The 22,699-nt window shown below is 38.8% G+C and overlaps 1 long non-coding RNA gene across 3 annotated transcripts in view, besides 1 other annotated feature; it reads right to left on the bottom strand.

Annotated features, from left to right (window-relative positions):
• The window catches only part of LOC105377700 (uncharacterized), a 348,217-nt gene that overhangs the window by 192,250 nt on the left and 133,268 nt on the right, over nt 1-22,699 (bottom strand). The gene's annotated exons all lie outside the window — the stretch shown is intronic.
• Nucleotides 22,455-22,655: a silencer, noted in NCBI's record as "peak5562 fragment used in MPRA reporter construct". NCBI's record gives its function as "represses an SCP1 promoter by STARR-seq MPRAs in K562 erythroleukemia cells {active_cell/tissue: K562}" and the evidence as "EXISTENCE:reporter gene assay evidence [ECO:0000049][PMID:32103011]".

Here is a 22,699-nt window from a genome sequence, read left to right on the forward strand (position 1 = left end):
TGCAGTAATGAGCAAGTTCTTACTCTGAATTCATGAGATCTGGTTGTTTAAAAGAGTGTGGCACCTCCACCTGCTTTCTCTTGCTCCCACTCTCCCCATGTGATACGCCAGCTCCCCCTTCACCTTCCACCATAATTGAAAACTTCCTGAGACCTCACCAGAAGCAAGGCAGATGCCAGCGCCATGCTTCCTATACTGCTTGCAGAACCATGAGTGAATTAAATCTCTTGTCTTTATAACTTACCCAGTCTCAGGTCAAAGACTTACTCTGTGTAAGAGAGTATTCATTTAACCAGTATTTACCCAACAAATATTTATTTAGCATTTAATATAAATTAGGTACTGCCAATATGTGGAAGTACTACTTTCTCTGAACCTTTGCCAAATCTAAGGTTAATCAGCAACAGTTGGTCAATCTTGAATGACAAAACTAAAAAATATGCACATATTGAGTTTCTATGGAACAGTTAAAGTTGGTCTCAGTGGTACAGTGATGGTGCAAGATCAAGTCTCCAAAAAGCTATTTAAGAAATAATGGAGTCATTAAGTATTAAGAACACAGAAAACATTGATTTTTTTCTTGTATATTTTTTTCTTTAGTTAAATAATGGAAGTGTCTTTTAGCAGCAGAATTGGCTCATATCAGAGTTACCCATTTTTTCTCAATCAGCACAAAGGTGATCCATATACACTGACAGCCCCAATGGACGGATCAGTGCTACAATCATCTCTGTATAAATTGGCTATAATTATTGAATCATTTCTACCAAATAACCACTTTTACAAATTTTAAGATTGCTTTCTGAATATTTTATTAAAGGTTATTGACTATAGATTATGATTGCCTGAATGCTGATTCCCAAAAACTTAATCCATTATTCCATATCCCTTTAAGAATTAATCTTTGTGAAGATAAACTGGGCATGGCAGAAAAGCATGGAATACATTATCAATGTAAGATATTCTTATTCCCTAATTGGAAAAGTAATCCTCAATTATTCTGTGATCACTCCCTCCTGTGTGACCTTACTTTTTCATGAATATACTACTAGTATAGTATGTTAAACAATTGTAGAATTATACTCTTGGAAGTCTGTCTTCCCTGGTATACATTGAAATGCCTTTGAGGGCATGAAATTGAGTCATACTCATTTTATTCTGTTAGTTAACTCAGAAAAATGCTAGATACAGGTATGCTGTTTTTTGTTTTGGTTTGTTTTAACATATTTTGGTATTCTTCTTCACTGTGAATGCAGAAGATATCCCACTTAAAAACAAAGCAAATTCGGCCAGGTGTGGTGGCTCACACCTGTAATCCCAGGACTTTGGGAGGCCGAGGTGGGCAGATCACGAGGTCAGGAGATCCAGACCATCCTGGCTAACATGATGAAACCCCGTCTCTACTAAAAATACAAAAAATTAGCTGGGCGTGGTGGCGGGTAGCTGTAGTCCCAGCTACTCAGGAGGCTGAGGCAGGAGAATGGCGTGAACTCGGGAGGCAGAGCTTGCAGTGAGCCGAGATAGTGCCACTGCACTCCAGCCTGGGCCACAGAGCAAGACTCCATCTCAAAAAAAAAAAAAAAAAAAAAAAAAAAAAAAAAAAAAAGCAAATTAAAACAACCTCTGGTTGTTGCCAGATAAAATACAGGACACCCAGTTAAATTTGAATTTCAGAAAACAAATTTTTTTAGTATAGGTATGTCCCAAATATCACGTTTATCTGAAATTCAAATTTAACAGGGCATTCGTATTCTTATTTGCTAAATCTGGCAACCCAAAAATGAATGTACTAGAAATAACTGGAGATTTCCTAGAATATCCCTAAAACCAGAACAAAGTTTTTCCCTGGCCTAGGAAGTAAGATACCCCAAAATCTTCGTAAAATGGAATGTGGGACTTCTGAGCTAAGAACTCACTAGAAAGATGTAAAGTGGGGCTAGATAGCCACTTTATCAGAAATGCTGTACAATAAGTGCCTGCATTGCTTAATATATTGGACAATATCACTTCTAAGTCTTGACCTTTTTGTGCATTTTACTTTTGCTTTAATTTCGGGAGTCCTTTTTGCTATCAGAGCTAGAAAATCTTGAACTTTTTAATTGATTTGTCTCCACCAGTGAACTTGGAACCATGCATCTGTCTTTCAGGAGTCAGTTTCCATCCATTGCTCTGAAACACCACCCTAGTGGGTATTCCCAGAAAAGCACCTTTGTGAGAAAGACCAGGTGTGGAGGTCACAATATTTACATCAATGCACAACAGCCAGACTCCATTTCAGATGCTATTTTATTCACCACAAGATCATTCTTACTCAATTACTTTTCCCAAACTCTCAACTGCTGCCAAGGTTAATGCAGGCTCTGACTCTGCCTGTTGATTCATATTAATTAAGCCAATCCATGATCTTGTATCACAGTGTCTGTTTTTAATATAACCTATTTGATGAGGCTGTATTAATTTAGGAGAAATGTGCACTGGCATTCTGGCCTGCACTCTTCTTAATTATCTTACAGTCCCCATTCAGCAGCATTGAAATTAGACTGTGGTTATCATAGTTAATGGAAGCCCTTAGCTCCTAGCTAAGTGATCTCCATCAGTCACCTGATCTTTTCTTGCTCTCAGCTGCATAAACATGATTGTGCTATCTATGCACTCCCTGATGAACACATAATTTGAGCGAGGGTGTGAATGTTTTAACAAAATCTCCTGCTTAGATCCTCAGGACAACAAGATGGCACTCCATTCTGGTACCTTTCTCTAAGTGGAAGGATAAGATTGGAATGACAAGCCTATGAAAAGAAAAGTTACACAATAACAGGGGCTAGGTAAGGTGAAGCTGGCTCTGAGAATATGCAGGAAACTTGAAACATGACTCTGCAATTGTGCGTTAAAGATCAGATGGGGCTGAGCGTGGTGGCTCACGCCTGTAATCCCAGCACTTTGGGAGGCCGAGGCGGGCGGATCACGAGGTCAGGAAATGGAGACCATCCTGGCTATGGTGAAACCCCGTCTCTACTAAACAAAATACAAAAAAATTAGCCAGGCGTAGTGGCGGGCACCTGTAGTACCAGCTACTCGGGAGGCTGAGGCAGGAGAATGGCGTGAACCCGGGAGGCGGAGCTCGCAGTGAGCCGAGATCGCGCCACTGCACTCCAGCCTGGGCGACAGAGCGAGACTCCGTCTGAAAAAATAAAAAATAAAAGATCAGATGGTAGATTCTCCACAGAAGGCAGATAAGGGCATCAAAATCCTCCATGTGTTTCCTCATGCTGCTTTTGAGCGCTACAAAGTCAATTCCACATTGTCCACCTTTCTCTTAAAAACTTGATGGAAGGCTGGGTGCGGTGCCTCATGCCTGTAATCCCAGCACTTTGGGGAGGCCGAGGCAGGTGGATTAGTTGAGCTCAGGAGTTAGAGACCAGCCTGGGTAACATGGCTAAACCTTGTCCCTACAAAAAATACAAAAATTAGCTGGTTGTGGTGGCGCACGCCTGTAGTTCCAGCTACTTGGGAGGCTGAGGTGGGAGGATCACTTGAGACTGGGAGGTTGAGGTTGAATGAGCCGAGATCATGCCACTGCACTCCAGCCTGGGTGACAGAGTGAGACCCTGTCTCAAAAATAAAATAAAATAAATAATAATAATAAATAAAATTATAATTTAAGAAACTTGGAGTTCCTAGTCAAAACTACTAATTCCTGCTCTGTTTCCATTCACTATGTTCATTCATTCATTCATTCATTCAACAAATACCTACTAGATACCAGACACTGTGAAATGCACTGGGGAAAAACCTGTGAATAAAACAGAAATAGTCACTTTCTTCATGAAACTTCAGTCTAGTCAATGAGACAGGTAATTAAACAAGTTAATTAAAATCAATAATTATAAATTGTGAAAATGCTGAGAATAATACAATAGGGTGCTCTTATAGATAATGACAAGGAGGAACCAAGTTTTGAAAGGGTGTTTTGGGAAGGCCTCCCCAAGGAGATGACACCTCAGCTGAGACCTGACTGACCAGAAGGAATCAGCATATAAGAACTGAGACAGCACAATCCAGCAAAGAAATAGCATATGTAAAGGTCCTGAGGCAAGAATAAGCTTGGTGTTTCTGAAACCAAATGTAGGCTAGAGTATCTGGAGTTAAAGCTAGAAGAGAAGAGGAGCTGAAAATGTGACCCTCTATAAAGCCCTTCTGCCACTGGAATCTAGGATGTTAGTGGTTGTCTGCATCTCTTTCCTCTTTTTCCACCGAATAATACCCAATTTAAGAGCAGAAATGATGTAATGTTCATTTTTAATTACCAACAGTGTCTATTATGATGCCTTGTGTAACACAGGTGGCCAAGAAATGGTGGTTAAACTTATATTGACTTAAATGTACTATGAATTCCAATTGTATCTGTAAAAAGAGAAAGCTGCTTAGTCTCTGAAAAACTTGCTAATTATAACAGTTAATATTTATTAAACCATTATTATTTACTGGGTGCTATTCTAAGCTACTTATACATATTCATTTCCTTATCATGTGCAAAAACCCTATGAGTAGATATTATGTTTGCTTTCATTGCAAAGGTGAGAAACTCAGAAGCTGAGAGGTCAATTAACTAAAAAAGTGAGAGTATAATTGGTGTCTGAGCCAGGATATGAATCCAGAGAGTTAGTCTCCACAATACATGTCCCTAAACATGATGGTAATGCTCCTAGTGTCTGAATATGAAAACTAATTAAGCCATTGAGGTACATCAGTACTTAATGCTCTGGGATTTATGCCAGGTATACGACATGTTATGGAAGGTACATACTTAACCTGAATATGTAACATGTCATGGAAGGTACATACTTAACCTGAATATATATTACTCAGGTTATATGAAATATACCTTTAATACATTTCCATCTCTCTGTATTTTTGGTTATAAGAAAGGATTATCTATTCACGCTTCAAAAGGTTTGAGTGTTTCCATAGAAACTGCTTTTCCTTAAATTTTCGAGATGGCTCTCAGTTCGTAAGACACTCAGCTATAGAAACAGTAGAACATTTCTCAGTCCTACCAACCATACCAGCCCCAAGGGGTAGCTCAGGGGAATTGTCCATTTTTCTCAATATTCTCCATCTTCTTTTTCTCCCTCTTTCCCCAAACTAACTCAAATACAGAATCTAAATAAAATTAGTGTGCCTGCTGTGCGATATAGTTTTAGGACAAATTTTCTAGTCTCCTCCCCAGCTACCAGCTTGCTTCCCCTGAAATGCTTTTAAATGAAGCTCTGGTGCATCCCCTGCCCACTGATGATGTAGGAGAGACCCATTGCTGAGAAGACTCCTGTTCTTTGATTATTGCCTTCTTTGGGGACTTTTGCCTAGGATATAAGGTGAGGGCAAATGGAAAACATATGAATGGTATTTAGAAAAGTAAGAATGTCAAGTTTTCTGGAAAGGAATGAGAAGAATGTACTGATGTTTTGATAAAGCAATTCATCTGTCCTAGAAACTCAAGCCTCCATCATCCTTTTATTCATAGCACTTAGCACGGCTCCTGGTATCCACTAAGTGCCCAGTAAATGTTGGATAAATGTATGAAATCTCTGGTCCTTTGAGAGGTAAATGTATGAGAGTAAGATGGTAGGAAACGTATAGAAATGTCATAAGACTATTTCCCCAATGACTCCCAAACACAGCTATCTCTAACTCCTTTTGTACATACTACTAGATCAACCCAATCAGCATCCAAGATTATCTTTGCAGTTGTTTTGAAATTGTCTAATTTTGTGATCAAGCCTGTTAACCATGCACTGATATATATGTGTATACACACACACACACACACACACACACACACACACATATATATATATATAAAATTTAGGTTTATGTACCATCTCCCCAAGTAGATTTTAAATCATTGTGGTATTATTTCTCTTTTCATTGCCTGTTACATACATATCCTTTTACGAATACAGTATTGGGCAGAGTGAAGAGGCTCAATAATACTCACATGTTAGCTATAGAATCTGAAATGGTGGAGAGCTTCCTGAGCAGTCTTTTTCTTGGAGTGTATACCATTTTGTCACTCAAATTGGGAGAATTCCACAGAAATCTCCCATTCAGGCCAGCTCATCCCTTTAATCCCAGCACTTTGGGAGGCCGAGGCGATTGGATCACATGAGGTCAGGAGTTCGAGACCAGCCTGGCCAACATGGTGAAACCCCGTCTCTACTAAAAATACAAAAATTAACTGGGCATGGTGGCGAATGCCTGTAGTCCCAGCTACTTGGGAGGCTGAGGCAGGAGAATTGCTTGAATCTGGGAGGCAGAGGTTGTAGTGAGCCGAGATCACACCACTGCACTCCTGCCTGGGTGACACAGCGAGACTCTGTCTCAAAAAAAAAAAAAAAAAAAAAAATCTTCCATTTACTCTCACTCAATAAATATTTAAAAGGAAGGAGGAAAAAAGGGAAGGGAGGAAGGGATGAAGGGAGGTGGGAAGTGGGGAGAGGAAGGGAGAAAGAATTTGGAAGGAGCTTTCAGTTTGAGAGAAAGAATTTAGAAAGAGCTTTCAGTTTAGTGAGACTGAAAGAATATGGGTTTTGGAGTAAGATCATCTGAGATCTAATAATGTGAGAATTTTGGCAAATAATTGAGCTGTGTCTCTTTCCCTAAATTATGGACATTAATACCTTTCTTAGAAAATGTATATAATGCTATGAATTTTAAAGAAATAGAACTCTTTTAGTTTCAAGTGGGATGAATACATCCAGAACTAGCTGAAGCTTAAAGAGGAATACTGGGGTGCTCACAGAATCCAAGGGGCTGGCTGAAGGATCAGGGATGGTACAGAGCCCTCAGAGTCTTCTAAAGCTTGAGAATAGTGTAGATAGAAAAACCACAGACTCGACATTTTAAAACAATGATTAATATTATCCATGCAGGGATAAAAGGAAAGAGGGAAACAAAGACCACAGGTGGACAGTTTCATTGTAATCTGAAGTAGAACTAGGCTAATTACCCAAAGAAGTCATTATGTGTGTTTTTCCAAGAGCCACCTTTTTCTATAGTTAGAATTTGCTTATAAAACAGGGCAGTAGTGGGCAAGGCAACCTTGTGACACAGGGAAGACTGAATGGGTCCAAGTGAATCTCCTCTGATGTCTTGCTAACCCTTGGCCAATGACCGCCCTAGGGCCACCCAGATGTCATCCTCAGATCCCTGCTGTGTGGGCCTCTCTGCAACATGACAGTTGGCTTCTTCAAAGAAAGCAGAAGAATTTCTTTCATTCTTCAAATCTCTCCTTTTAGAAAAATCATGCTTACTTCTCCATCTATCTTTTGGCCTCTGCTCCCACAGTTACCTGAATATTCATACAAGGCTTGAATCTAAACTCTAAAAGAAAAGATCCGATTAATCTCATGACTTGTCAGTGGGCAAGACTTTTCCATTAGGATAATACTACTTGGTCTACAGACCCCTTGGAACTACCACATAGAAAACAGGTTATCTTATGAACTGCTGACTAAGAATCAGGTGTTCATTTCAAATCCAATTTCTTATGGTCAGGGAGGTTGAGTGATAGAGATTTGTGTAAAAGAAACCACTTTGGAAATGGAATGTAACAAGCTTGGATTAATGAGTACACTGCTCTAACCAAAGGATAATTTCATAATGTGGCACTTAGTGTTTTTCTTACACAAAAGGTTTTGCATTTATTCTTTCATTTTATTTTAATATTTACAAAATTCTCATATTTGTATAAAGAAGGTATTCTAATCTCCATTTTTAAGTAGGGAAATTTAAGTCCAGCAAAACTAAGTCATTAATCCAAAGTATAGTTAGAAAGCCTAGTCCATATTCTGTGACTCAGAATTGTTACATTTTTGCTTTTTTTTTGCTACATTGCATGGTTATCATTGTCCTCCATTGCCTTCTTTTTGTATTGTGCTTAAAAAACAAACCTCTTTTGCTTTTATCATCTCAAAGAGAACAACGGCCAGAGAAGACAAAGATAGCAAAAAAGGAAGAGAGAATACTGCTGCTGTCTCAAGGCCTGTGGAAGGAAGGAGAATCTTATAATCAGGTCACATGCCAACTAGGATCAATTGGTAGGGGAATCCTGAAGCTCCATGTTGAGAATTTCAAAAGCATATCTGGGCTGGGCGCGGTGGCTCACGCCTGTAATCCTAATACTTTAGGAGGCCAAGGCGGGTGGATCACAAAGTCAGGAGTTAGAGATCAGCATGACCAGCATGGTGAAACCCCGTCTCTACTAAAAATACAAAAATTAGCCAGGCGTGCTGGCAGGTGCCTGTAGTCCCAGCTACTCAGGAGGCTGAGGCAGGAGAATCTCTTGAACCTGGAAGAGGGAGGTTGCAGTGAGCCGAGATCACGCCACTGCACTCCAGCCTGGGCGACAGAGCGAGACTCCATCTCAAAAGAAAAAAAAAAAAGTATATCTGGGTTCTCCTGGGTGGAGGGAAGGCTTCTGGTTAGATTAATGATATCTAGGTGGAGGAGATGTTTTATGATTGCTTGGTGATGTCCTCTATGGCCTCTAGAAATATCAGCAGAAAAGAAAGATTATTTAGCATGCCAGGCCTGAGCTTTATTATGTCAACATTGCTCACCTGAAATTATGGCACCAAATATATTATTCTGCTGCTTCTAGTAAAACGAGGGGAAACAACTGTTGAGAATGGATCTGTTTGGGAGCTAAATGTATTTAGGGTGCTTTCTTTTTTTTGTTTTTTGTTTGTTTGTTTTTAGTTTTTATTTTAAGTTCAGGGGTACATGTGCAGGTTTGTTATATAGGTAAACTCATGTCACGGGAGTTTGTTGTACAGATTATTTTGTCACTCAGGTACTAAGCCTAACACCCAATAGTTTTCATCATTTAGCTTCCACTAATAAATGAGAACATACAGTATTTGGTTTTCTGTTCCTGCGTTAGTTCACTTAGGATAATGGTCTCCAGCTCCATCCATGTTCCCACAAAAGACATGATCTCATTCTTGTTTATGGCTGCATAGTATTCTATGGTGTATATGTACCACATTTTTTTTATGCAATCTGTCATTGATGGGCATTTAGGTTGATTCCATGTCTTTGCTATTATGAATAGTGCTGCAATGAAAATTCATGTGCATGTGTCTTCATGGTACGATGATTTATATTCTTTTGGGTATATATCCATAAATGGGATTGCTGGATCAATTGGTAACTCTGTTTTTAACTCTTTCTGTATGTGCAAATTAAGTTAAAGAATGGAACTTTACTTTTCTTGTAAAGAGAAATTATGTATTTAGAATTTAGGGATGATAACCCTTCACAATGGCTGGCTTTGGTTAAAAGGATAATACTGATGACAATGATGATGATGATAATAAAGACAGCAACAATACTAACATCATAATACCTAAATATAAACTCTCTACAGAGAAGAAAGTGGATGAGGGAGAACTGACCTGAAAGATTCGCACACAGGCTGTCCAATATATAAAATATTTTCAAACTTATGAAAAAATAATACTTTGCAACTTGTTTTTACCTCTGTAGAAGTGTTGAAGGGCCATAGGGAAATTAAAACATCATCCAATTTTCTTTAATTGAAAAATCCTTAACCAAGATAAATAACTGTCCTTGCACAGAAAGAGCACTGCAGATGCAAACATTTTTTCATTGTTTTAAATTATGATTTCTAATTTGGGAAGGTGTTTGCTATTTTTGTCTTATTTTGTGGCTGTTTATTATTATTATTATCGAGCATCATCTCAGAATGTTTCTGCTCTGGGAAACAAATTGAAATAAAACCTCATTTCAAATGATCAGTTTGAAAGTCATAGAAAAAACAAGGAAGTGTAACCAGTGATTTAGAAAGCCTTTCCTGCACCCAGATCACCATAAGCCCAGACATAAGACAGGGTTCAGAAAGTCGGGAAAAGCAGGCAGCAATGTTCTGAACACTCCATGGCAGAAAACGAACCTGAAGACCACATAAAAAACACAACTATTTTGCCTATGAAAGGAAAAAAAAATAGGTACACTTATTTTTAAATTCAGATAAACTGGAAAACTATTTCAAAAAACATTAAAATGGAGAAAAATAAACTGACAGTAAATCAAACTTGTGCATCATGGAAGAATTCCACAGGGATTGATTCAAGACACTTAACATCTCATATTAAAACACTTTATACACATACACACACAGAGACACACACAGTCACATTAAGAATATATATATTCTGGTATATATAGATACATTCTAGGATATATATATTCTAGGATATATATATAAATTCATATATATGTAAATATATACACATATATATTTTAAGAAGACCCTCTGTAAAATGGAAGCACGAGCAGGCACAGTATACTCATATGTCTTATTAAAACAACATGGGACATTTAAAATTGGGCTTGCCATTTTTCTGGCAGGAAAAGAAATTTAGCCAATTTAAGACTGAAAATTAAATGGCACTACACATATATATCAAGCAGAAAGTAAAAGAGAAATGAAGTAACTGAGTCCAGGAATTTCAAACGGAGCTCACTTAAAAAAGAAAGGGAGAAAAGAGAGGCCAGAAGCAAAAGAGTCTAAGCACACGAGTGGTAACAAATGTGTAATAAGTGTAGAATAATAGCCTCTGTCCTGAGGTTAGGTCTGACTCTAGGTTGGAGGCAGAGTGGGTGAGGGTGGTCTACAAGGCACAATATGTGTCAGACAGACCAGAGGCACACATTCTTGTCAATGCCTATGCTTCAGGCCCCTTTTCTAGATCATAGCCCTGAGATTCTAACAACCTCTGGATCTCTCTGAACAGAACCTCTAATAGATCCCTATTCCACTAGATCCTGGTCTCCTGACCTAGGCTTTGTGTCTCATTCACCCAATGCACTAGACCCTGTATTTCATCTCTGTAGATTCAGGGCAAAGTGTGTTTCTCCTTGTCTTAGAAGGCTTTTTTAGTCTCAACATTCTTCTTACTCATTCAGGGTTATTATGCCTGCTTGATCCCCCCCAGCCATTGGTTACCGCTCTATAACTCACTAACTGTCTGCTCTGGCCACAATATCTATCAATGAAATGCTATGAAATGTGTGACAAGGTGGAAGGAAGTTTTAGAGTCACACAGATCTGGGTCCATGCCTGCTTCCCCACAGACTGTAGTGTGAGCCTTCGCAAGGTCCTTTGCCTCTGTGAGTTTCAAGTTTATCCTTGCAGAGTTATTGTCTGGATTTACAATAATTTTTAAAATCTGACTCACTGGTACATCACATATGTTCCAAATTGTAGTTACTATTATCTGAATTACTAGTTTGACATTTCATTCCATCCTATTATCTTCTCCTTTCTGATCCTCTGCAAAACTAAACTAAAACACCTGTCTTACTTTTCACTGATTCATTCATTCCAACATTATTTTGCTGGATGCCTACTAGAATAATGAGGCTCTGTAGCAGGTGCTGGAGATTCAGCAAGGAGAAACAGAGAGATACAGTGTCTACCCTCATCAACCTTTTAGTCAAGTCAAAAAGAAAAACAACAAAAGCACAATTGCTAATTGCTATGGTAATAAGTACATGAAGAAAACCTACAGAGGATCCTAACCTACTCTAGGAAAGGGGAGGTCTGAGACAATCCTAAGAAAAACTCTTCTTAGGACCTAAACTATCAGTAAACTGAGTTACTCAAAACAAAGAGAGCAGAAAGCATCCTCAAGTGTAGAGGACAATGTATGTGAAGCCCAGCAGTGGGAGGGATTTGGCACATTCAAAGAACAGGAACAAGTGTGGCCAAAGTACAGTGTTCGGGTGACAAAGATGGTCACTATTAAATATAGAAATAGCAAATGGGTCAAATCTGAGCCATAGAAGGAGTATAAAAAGAAACGATTCTCAAGCCTTTGAATTACCCAATGAGCCAACGAACAAAAGAAGCACAGAATCTCTGAGACGCCTCAGTTGTTGGTACAGGTTCCTTGCATAGAATTGAGCTGTAGGTAGTAAATGTCACAGCAACACTGGGGAAACAATTGTGTCCCAGGGAGTCCCTGCCTTGTAAATATATCTCAACCTATTTTAGGGATGTTTTAAGGTAGCAATTGACAACTAAATAACTCTTAGCTACCATGTGTCAGGCAATATCATAATGTTCTAGCTACAAATCCTTCCCACTGTGTGCCCCCATAGAAACCTCTTTCTAACATTTCACAAACTTGACTGTAAATAACCACTTATTTATGTGTATTCTCATATAAACTGAAACTGTTATCTCCAGTGCCTAAAACACAGGGACACAAATTATATGCTCAATAAAAAATATATTCCTATATTTTCTCCCATGCTAGGAATATCCTTTCCCTCTCACTTCGTTTTATGATGAATAACTTATCTTTTGCATATACAGATGGCCTTTCTGTATTTTCATAAAACTTCACTCATCACTGCACCTACCCACCTGTACTGTCATTCTCTTTTTTTTTTTTCTCTCTACCCTACCAGATAGAAACCTTCATAAAAGCTCACATCTATTCTATTGTAGTCACTATGGCCCTAGGACCAGTATAAGATGCTTAATAAATTCGGGTTGAATTAATGTGTTGAATTCATGAAAAATGAACTTGCTCACAAGGCTTATAATATATCCATTTTATAGACAACAAGATCTGCCCAGTCAGCAAATTCAGGGCAGCACTAGATTCAGAACTCACCAATCCTGAGTTATTACTATGAAACTCATCCTGTTGAATTTGGCTAACTTCCTATGACAGACATTAAGGATTGGTATTTAGATTTTGTTTGTTTGTTTTGTGTTGTTTTGTTGTGTGGAAGGAAATGTTTTGGTATTAGTATCAGCTATTTCAAAAAAAGGAAAGGAAAGGAAAAACATAAAGGCATAGTATCCTAAGCACTTAGAAAAAGGTCATCAAGCAAGAGACAGAGCAAGACCTATTCACGGAGAACAGAAAACAGCAAATTAATTCTAAGGCTCTCTGGAGGCTGAACACAAGTGAATGAAGGTTAGCAATGCTACAACATATGCAATAGCCATGAGTGTGGACTTGTTCTTTTAACAGAAAGATTGATATAATACTATCTGAGCAGCATTTGCCTAAGTGCCCTCCATGGAACATTATCTGTGACAGTGCTATGGTCAAGTAGGTTTAGGCTTCATCAGCAATTAACACATGTAATGGTGAAAAACTGGTTACACATTGTTTAATCTCATGCTTTCCAAATGAAATTAACTTGAAAAAGCTTTTTTCTCCACCCTTCAACACTAATTAATACTTAGAGAAAGCAATATTTCTCAAAACACCCTTTGGAAAACACTTGCATATGTAGTAGAAGACCGGAAATGGACAGAAGGGAAAATCGCTCCGAAGAGTAATACATACCAGTAGGTCTCTAACTGCATGTAAATACAACAGCTTTTGTGATGGAGCATTCTCTCATTACTATCTTCAGTTCTTCTACTTGAGATAGTTCTGTGCCTCTTAAAATCAAGACAAATTCAACCAAAAGAAGGACTTTAGGAGACGATAGTCCCCCAAAACTGAAATAAAGCTTGTTTGTAAAAAAAAAAAAAAAATGGAAGTTCCAACAACTTTAAAATATGTTTCCATTGTTAATAACAACTTTTAATAGATGCATAGCCTTCAGCAACCTCATAGTCTGTTTTTTGAATGCTTTGTACAGGATGTGCTGAGAATTTATTTTTCTCCCTCACTGCTCTAACTTGCTGTGGCATTGCCTTGTCAAACACACAGCTAATGATATTTCTGGGGATTTAGAGGTAGGACATACAGAAAGGTCTACAGGAAAACTGACAGTCATCAAGTCCGGAGGACATGAACTGTGTAGGTAACAGACATGGTTTCCCATGATTGCACTGCAACTTTAAAAACTTAGTAAAGTAATCCAAAAATGTATGAATAGGGAAGAAAAAAGGAGTTGTAAAACATCCTTTCTGAGATGACTTTTAGCATTTTCAAAAAAGTTTTGAATTTATAGTGCATCAGTAACAGAGTTCTTTTAATGGCAAGTTTCAGGAATTTTTTCAAGGTATACTGAATATTTATTAAGCATTTTTGATGTCACAAAATATGCTACAGATGCAAAAATGCAAGGAACTGTACTACGGAAGTTCACAGCCAAATGGTGGAAATAAACTTAGAGTTAAATAATTGAAACACCATGTAATGCATGTCCTAATAAGATAAGCTCACAAAGATTAGCATAAGGGGACAAAGCGATTTACAAAGCTTGGCACAATAGGGTAAGGCTACGGTCACAGAGAAGATGCTGGAGTTAGGTTCTGAAGGCTTAATAGGAGTCTGCTGGGTGCACATATTGGAAAAGGGCTTTTTTTTTTTTTTTTTTTTTGAGATGGAGTCTCGCTCTGTCACCCAGGCTAGATGGAGTGCAGTGGTGCGATCTCGGCTCACTGCAAGGTCCACCTCCCCGGTTCACGCCATTCTCCTGCCTCAGCCTCCCAAGTAGCTGGGACTACAGGCACCTGCCACCACGCCCGGCTAATTTTTTGTATTTTTAGTAAAGACAGGGTTTCACCGTGTTAACCAGGATGGTCTCAATCTCCTGACCTCATGATCCACCTGCCTTGGCCTCCCAAAGTGCTGGGATGACAGGCATGAGCCACCGCACCCGGCTGGAGAAGGGCATTTTAAGCAAGGGAAATCACATGAGATACATGAAAAAACCCAGCCAATTCAAGAAACAGAGGCAATGAATGTTGCTTATTTTATTTTTTTTCTTTTTTGAGACAGGGTATTGCTCTGTTGCTCAGGTTGGAGTGCAGTGGCATGATCTCACCTCACTGCAACCTCCACCTCCCAGGCTCAGGTGATCCTTCTGCCTCAGCCTCCAGAGTAGCTGGGACTACAGGCCCCTGCCACCAGGCCTGGCTAATTTTTATATTTTTAGTAGAGAAAGGGTTTCACCATGTTGTCCAGGCTGGACTCAAACTCCGGATTTTAAGTGATTTCCCCGCCTTGGCCTCCCAAAGTGCTGGGATTACAAGCATAAGCCACCACTCCTGGCCAAATGTTGCTTATTATTAAAAGGCAAGTATGGAGAAAGAAGGAAGCAGGGGATGATATAGATCTACTTGTGCTCTCCAAAGATGTGATAATAGTTTTAACCATTCTAGAAAATATTTGCAAACCTTGCATCTGACAAAGGACTAATATCCAGACTCTACAAGGAACTCAAACAAATCAGCAAGAAAAAAATAAAATAATCCCATTAAAAAGTGGCCAAAAGACATGAGTAGACATTTCTCAAAAGAAGACATACAAATGGCCAACAAACATATGTAAAAAAGTTCACCAGGCACGGTGGCTCACACCTGTAATCCCAGCACTTTGGGAGGCCGAGGTGGGCGGATCGCTTGAGGTCAGGGTTTGAAACCAGCCTGGCCAACAAAGTGAAACCCCATCTCTACTAAAAATACAAAAATCAGCTGGACATGGCACACACCTATAATCCTAGCTACTGGGGAGACTGAGGCACAAGAATCGCTTGAACCCGGGAGGCAGAGGTTGCAGTGAGCCGAGATCCTGCCACTGCACTCCAGCCTGGACAACAGAGTGAGACTCCATCTCAAAAAAAAAAAAAAAAAAAAAAATTGAACATCACTAATCATCAGGGAAATGCAAATTAAAACCACAATAAGATACCAGAATGACCGTTATAAAAAAGTGGAATAACAATACATGTTGATGCTGATATAGTAGAAAGGGAATGCTTATACACTGCTGGTGGGAATGTAAGTCAGTACAACCTCTACAGAAAACAGTATAGAGATTCCTTATAAAACTAAAAGCAGATCTACCATTCGATCCAGCAATTGCACTACTGGGTACTTACCCAAAGGAAAAGAAGTTATTATATAAAAAAGACACCTGCACACTTATGTTTATCACAGCACAATTCAAAATTGTGAGGAAGGTGGGAGGAAAGTGAGGGATGGAAAACTACATTTTGGAAACAATGTACACTACGTGGGTGACCAGTACACTAAAATCCTAGACTTCATCACCATACAATTCATCCATGTAACCAAAAGCCATGCTAGTCCTAAAGTTATTGAAATTAAAAAAATGTAAATAATAATTTTAGCCAGTTTATATATCTGTATATAAACTGGTATATATGTCATCTCATATAAATATATATATATCTTATATATAGTATCATGTATATCTTACATATATATATATATATATCTGTATATATGTCTGTCAAGTAAGACTTTTTTTTTTTTTTGAGGTAGAGTTCTGCTCTTGTTGCCCAGGCTGGAGTGCAATGGCGCTATCTCAGCTCACTGCAACCTCCACCTCCTGGGTTCAAGCAATTCTCCTGTTCAGTCTCCCAAGTAGCTGGGATTACAGGCGTCCACCACCATACCTGGCTAATTTTGTATTTTTAGTAGAGACAGAGTTTCACTATGTTGGTCAGGCTGGTCTCGAACTCCTGACCTAAGGTGATCCACCCACCTCAGCCTCTCAAAGAGCTGGGATTACAGGCGTGAACCACCATGTCTGGCCTCAAGTAAGACTATTTTTTTTATTTGAAAGATAAATGTGTTAAGAAGAGCCTAACAGAGTTAGGCTCATTGTGTTTTGCCTGTTTCTCACTACTCTTTTGTGTTTTGCCTGTTTCTCACTACTGGACACCATGAGTTTCTGAGTGAAACCAGAATTCGTTTCTACCAAAAATTCATCTCTACCAAAAAAAATTTACTTTTTTGACACAAAGTGGCAGATGCATGCATGGAAGAAAAAGAAAGCAACAGGCCCAAAACTCTGTTACACCTTTCCCGCAAGCTGTGAACCCTAGTCATGGTGTTACAAGCTGAACTGGTGGAGGCTCCCCACAACACCACTAAGTCAGTCTCATGAAAAAGGAACAGTTGTCAGTGATTCTGTTAAAGTTCTTTGGTTGCAAGGAAAATAAATAGAATCTGGTTCTCTTAAGGCAGAAAGGAATGCATGGGAGGAGCAAGGGACAGCCTACAGAAAAGCCAACACCCCAGACTTAGGAGAAGGCCCAAGAAGAGCAGTTTCAGTAATCACGGTTCATTGCAAAAACCGTCAGTCTCCACAAGACACTTCTATCAGGATAAAAAAACCCTGCAACTATTTTAGATCTTTATCATCCCCCTCAAGATTCAAACTCCAGGAACAGAGCATGTGATCAGGCTGGCTTCTGTCTCATATCTACCCATCAGCCAAGGAAATGCAGAGCACCAAGACAAACATGATGAGGGAAGGATAGTTCCCCTAAGCAAAATTGGGATGTGGATACCAAAATAAGAGAGAGGAGATGCTGAACACACAAAATCAATACACGCCCACCACAGTCCACACAGCATCACACATCTGGAAACTTATAAATAATCAGCCAACTCATTCACTGAACTTTACATCTTCTACACTTCTCAATCAGATCTGAGATGGAGGAGGTGTTACAAGAAGCATAGAGAGGTGTTAAGAATAAGGTCTAGCGAGGCAGTCCGAAGAGTTGAATCTTAGGTCCACCATTCACTAGTGGTGAGAACCCCAGCCAAGTTTCTTAACTTCCCTGTGCCTCAATTTTTTCTTTTTTTTTAAGAGATAAGGTCTCACTCTGATGCCTAGGCTGGGGTACAGTGGCACCATCATTGCTCACTGCAGACTCCAACTCCTAGGCTCGAGTGATCCTCCCACCTCAGCCCCCCAATTAGTTGGGATTATAGGCATATGCTGCCATGCCTGGCTTATTTACTTATTAGAGATAGGATCTTGCTATGTTGCCGAGACTGGTCTCAAACCCTTAACTTCAAGCGATCCTCCCACCTTGGCCTCCTAAAGTGCTGAGAGTTTTTTCATCTGTAAAACTGGTATGATAATATTAGGTGGGGGTCCTACAAGGGTGAGAGACTGGGAGGAAACAGAGGTGAAGCATAAAATGCATTTATTTAGTGCTCTTCTGGCATCTGATAAGCACTCAAGAAACATTAGTTACTGTCATCTAGCTGTCTGGCGCTGCGACTTGCATAGATAATTCTCTTCCCCCTTCTAAAGTGTCTTGTTTTGATTATTGAGTTTCCTCTAGATGCTCCTATATAACATCACAATATCATAATAGAAATTCAGAGTGAGAAGCGTCTTTGTTTTTCTTCCCTGCCTTGTTTCTCTCCTACCTGAAAAGAATAGTCAAGACTTCATTTAGATTTCAAACTAATGTTCTGTGACAATTGTTCAGCATGAGTAGCATCCAAAATATAATTCCAGTGATTTTTTTTCTTCTTTTCCAAAAGGCATACAGCTAAGGTTAATAGAGGTGCCACTTTCAAAATATATCTGCCCTGAGCAACATAAAGGGATTATTTAAAAGGGCACAGTGCATTGGACACACCCTGGTATTAAAGGCCTAGCAACTAAAATTAATTTTACAAGCTCCTACACACACCAATTTTCATTGACTCTGAATCTTCTAAATTATACTTTCCCCTTGTTTAGGGAGGTCTATGAAAATAAGTAAAAAGAAGAAAAATCTTTTCATTTGCAAACCAATGCAGAGACAGCACCTGCACCTTGTGAACATTTAAAGATAAATGACTTTGTCCTTTTGTTGTTTCTTTCTTCTTCATTTTTCTCTGCAGAGTTGATTGACGGCAGTAACATTACAAAAATAAAACACTGATTTCCCCTCATCAAGTCTCACTGCTTTTTAAATTATCTTGGATAGCCTTCATTTGTAAATACCTTATCTTTGAGAACAGATGCCTTTAAATTTCCTCTAGTATAGCTTTTACTGCATTTTAATCAAAAAACGTATCTCCAACATAAGTAAAATAAAGAAAGACTTCTGATTTTTTTTTTTTAAAGAAAACCCTTTTGTTATGGCCCTAACAGGATTCTTTTTTAACTTGTTCAAAGTTTAAAGTAGAGCATAAAGGTCTAAATTAGACTAAACATTTTTCCTTCAATTACACTCCTGGGATAGACATTTGAAATAAATTTCAAGCTAACAAATTATTGCTCAAGATGCTCTCAAAAGTATTTCAAAGTCCAAGATTATGTCTTCATTCTCTTACACTTGTTTAGAAGCTTACCTCCATTAAATCCTTTGAATTATTATTCAACAGCAGCCACATTCATTTACTCTTAATTCTGTTGGCTTAGTACTTCAGTGCATAATTTTACTTTTAAAGTTCTTTAAAGTGGCTTCATGCTATTTACATATTACATAATTCAAGGACTAACAAACCAAGATATTACAAAAGGGAAAATGTTCAGTTCTATAACTTGTTAATTAAGACTGCAGTACCTATGTAAAGACAGCCCTAGATAATCTAGAAGTCTCTAGAAATAGGAAAATTGTCCCATATTATAGGGGAAAGGGAGAAGAAAGCTGACAAATTTTTAGAGTAAATCCCAATATGACCTGATGTCTAACTTGGTGCCCCTTTTGCCCTTATCCCCTAAACCTTCTTCACTTATACCTACAATTTAAAAGATAGAAAAAAAAATAGGGGAATTTAAAGAGGTATCTTTGGTGCAGTTCCTCCTAACTTCTAACAAAAAGTCTCATGAATATTCACACATAATAACAACTGAAAAAGAGCTTAAAATAAAGTTGAACAGATACACTATTGCCAAAATCTGGGAGGAATTTCTCACAACTCTATGGCTTATGAAACTGGATAAAGAAAAAAAAAATTCCTTACCCATGCATGGGTTCATCAAACGGAACAACCCAGAGAGAAGGTAGGAAGACATTTTATTCCTCTTTCACCCTAGTCTCATGCCTGAGACATCCAGGATGCGTACCAATAAGAAAACTCAGTGAGCAGTCATCTAGTTCGAGAGTACCACTTTGGGATGTACGGTGAATAATGTCTCCTTATACACTCTCCCAACTGGACCTTGGGATTTCTACGGTTGTCCATCATTACCCACCTCCTTTGCAATTTCAAAGGAATCCCCAATTGTGTATCATATTCATTTCTTAGGGCTGCAATAATACATGAAAACAAACCAAATGGCTTAGAACAACAGAAATTTATTTTCTCAAAGTATTGGAGGCTAGAAGTCTGAAGTCAAGGTGTCAGCAGGGCCATGGTCCTTCAGAGGGCTTTAGGGGAAGATCCTTCCTTGGCTCTTCTCAGCTTTTGATGGTTGCCAGCAATTCTTCATGTTCTGTTCCTTGGCTTGCAGCTGTAGCACTCCAGTCTCTACCTCTGTCATGTTTTGGTCTTCTCCCCCTGTGTGTCAGTGTCCAAATCTCATCCTTCTCATAAAGACATCAGGCATTGAATTAGGACCTACCCTAATGATCTCATCTTAACATGATTATATCTGACCCCATTTTTAAATAAGGTCATCTTTCCAGGTATTTGAGGTTAGGACTTCAACATTTCTTTTTGGAGGACACAACTGGACCCACAGCTTGAGTATTCTGGTGTGAGATAACACCCTTCTGCCCTGTTTTTCAGAGAAAGGAGTCCTATTGTCCCACTTTCCAACCCAGGCACATGACCTAATTCCAGCTCACTGGATGCGTCCACTCCATATATTAATAAAGTTAGATTAAGTGACACAAAGGTAAAAGACCTTTACATTTCATTCCCAACTGCAGGGGTAATGCCCCCTCTACCATCCCAATACTCGTACAATGTCCTAACTTCTTCCAAAGTATTAAATCCTTTCTGGCTTAAGATAACCAGAGACAGTACTTGGTATTTGGGAATGACAACTTTCAAAAATATATAATTGGGTGACACAGGATGAGGGGCTGCAGAGGTGCATCTCTCCTAGAAAAGAATGTATTCTTAGAAAAGCTAAAAAAGAAAGAGCCTGAAAGAAATACATGCAAGGGTTATAATTTTTACATTTGAAATCCGCTCGAATGTGAAGTTTCCAGGCAGGAGGATTTAAGAACCTCAGTACTGAAATCTGTAAGGCATTGGGAAATGAGCTACTTTTTTGTGGTTGATTTGATACAAGAATTTAGCAAACAGTGAGAAGCGCCATAAGAAAAATACACAACCCTGCTGGTAAACATTATCTGAATAAAGATCTCCTAATTTGAGGATGGATAGAGATAAAGAAAGGCAGAGATTTCCTCAAAGAATGATATATGCAAAACATTAAGAAGAGAATATCATACTGAAGAATTAAAAGAGCATTACTCTGACAGTCATTTACTAGTAGAAATAGAGGAAAAATCATTACTAATTTTATAACACCCCTCAAAAGGATGCCAGAATACCTAACTTCTATGAAATAAGAGCAGAAAATCAAATGTAAACTAAGAAAGGAAAAACAGCATAATGATGTGGAGATACAATTTATTAAAATTTAAAAAATGGGCCGTGCACAAGGGCTCACGCCTGTAATCCCAGCACTTTGGGAGGCTGAGGTAGGTGGATCACCTGAGGTCGGGAGTTCGAGACCAACCTGGCCAACATGGCAAAATCCTGTCTCTACCGAAAATACAAAAATTAGCCAGGCATGGTGGTGCATGCCTGTAATCCCAGATGCTTGGGAGGCTGAAGCAGCAGAACCACTTGAACCTGGGAGGCGGAGGTTGCAGTGAGCTGAAATTGTGCCACTGCACTCCAGCCTGAGCAACAAGAGCAAAACTCCATCTCAAAACATAAAATAAAATAAAACAAAATAAAAAGTAAAATTTAAAAATGAAATTTAAAGATTAAAAGAATCAATGGAGACATTAAAGAATAGGATTGACGATATTGTGAAAGTTGGGCAGAGAGTTATTTTAGATTTTGTTTTGTTTGGCTTGTTTTTCCATCCAACTAAAGGGAAACACCTACCTGGCTGAAACACAAATAAAACAAAACAAGGATGGAATAGTGAGTAGAGCTGGTGACTCTCAAATCCTGTATTTACCATGCACCTCTTCATAGACTTATACAAGTAAGGTAAGAATCAAGTCAGAAATAAAATTTCTTTGTTTCCTGAAAAACTAAAAACTGTTGTATAAACTGCCAGTTTGTTTGCCATGTTTGTCTGATACTTTAAATAGCATAGGGCTTTAGATCTAAATGGCTCAACAGATCAATTTGGAGAGATGAGCCTAGCTTAATGCATATTTCCATGGAAATAGATAAACTACACTTCAACATACTGTGAAAAGATACAACACACTAAAGGTATCCTGGAAACCTCTTCTTCTTACACCACCCCTCTACCCCTAATGCATTCTCACCTTGTCCCATAAAATAGAAACTTTAATCAAAACTTCTACTCTCACTAGGAAGAACTTGACAAAAAAAAAACTTCCACACTTCTCTTCACCCCTTATTGGATTCTTTCCACAACAAGAGAGGTTATAAATGATTGAGGAGTTTTGTGATAGTCTGAAATCCATATACCTACTTTCACGTATTGAAGTTTTCAACTAGAGGCAATTTTGACTGCCAGGGGCATTTGGAAACGTCTCAAGAAATGTTTTACTCTTGTGTTTCAGGGTAGATAAGAGACCAAGGATGCTGCTAAGCACCCTATAACGCAGAGGACAGTCTGCCACAACAAGGGATTATCTAGTTGTCCAGACATGGTGGCTCCTGTCTGTAATCCCAGCACTTTGGGAGCCCGCCGCAAGTGCAACACTCCAGGTCAAAAGTTCGAGACCAGCCTGGCCAACATGGTGAAATCCCAACTCCACT

Source organism: Homo sapiens, chromosome 5 (assembly GCF_000001405.40).
Source record: "Homo sapiens chromosome 5, GRCh38.p14 Primary Assembly".
Taxonomy (NCBI): domain Eukaryota; kingdom Metazoa; phylum Chordata; class Mammalia; order Primates; family Hominidae; genus Homo; species Homo sapiens.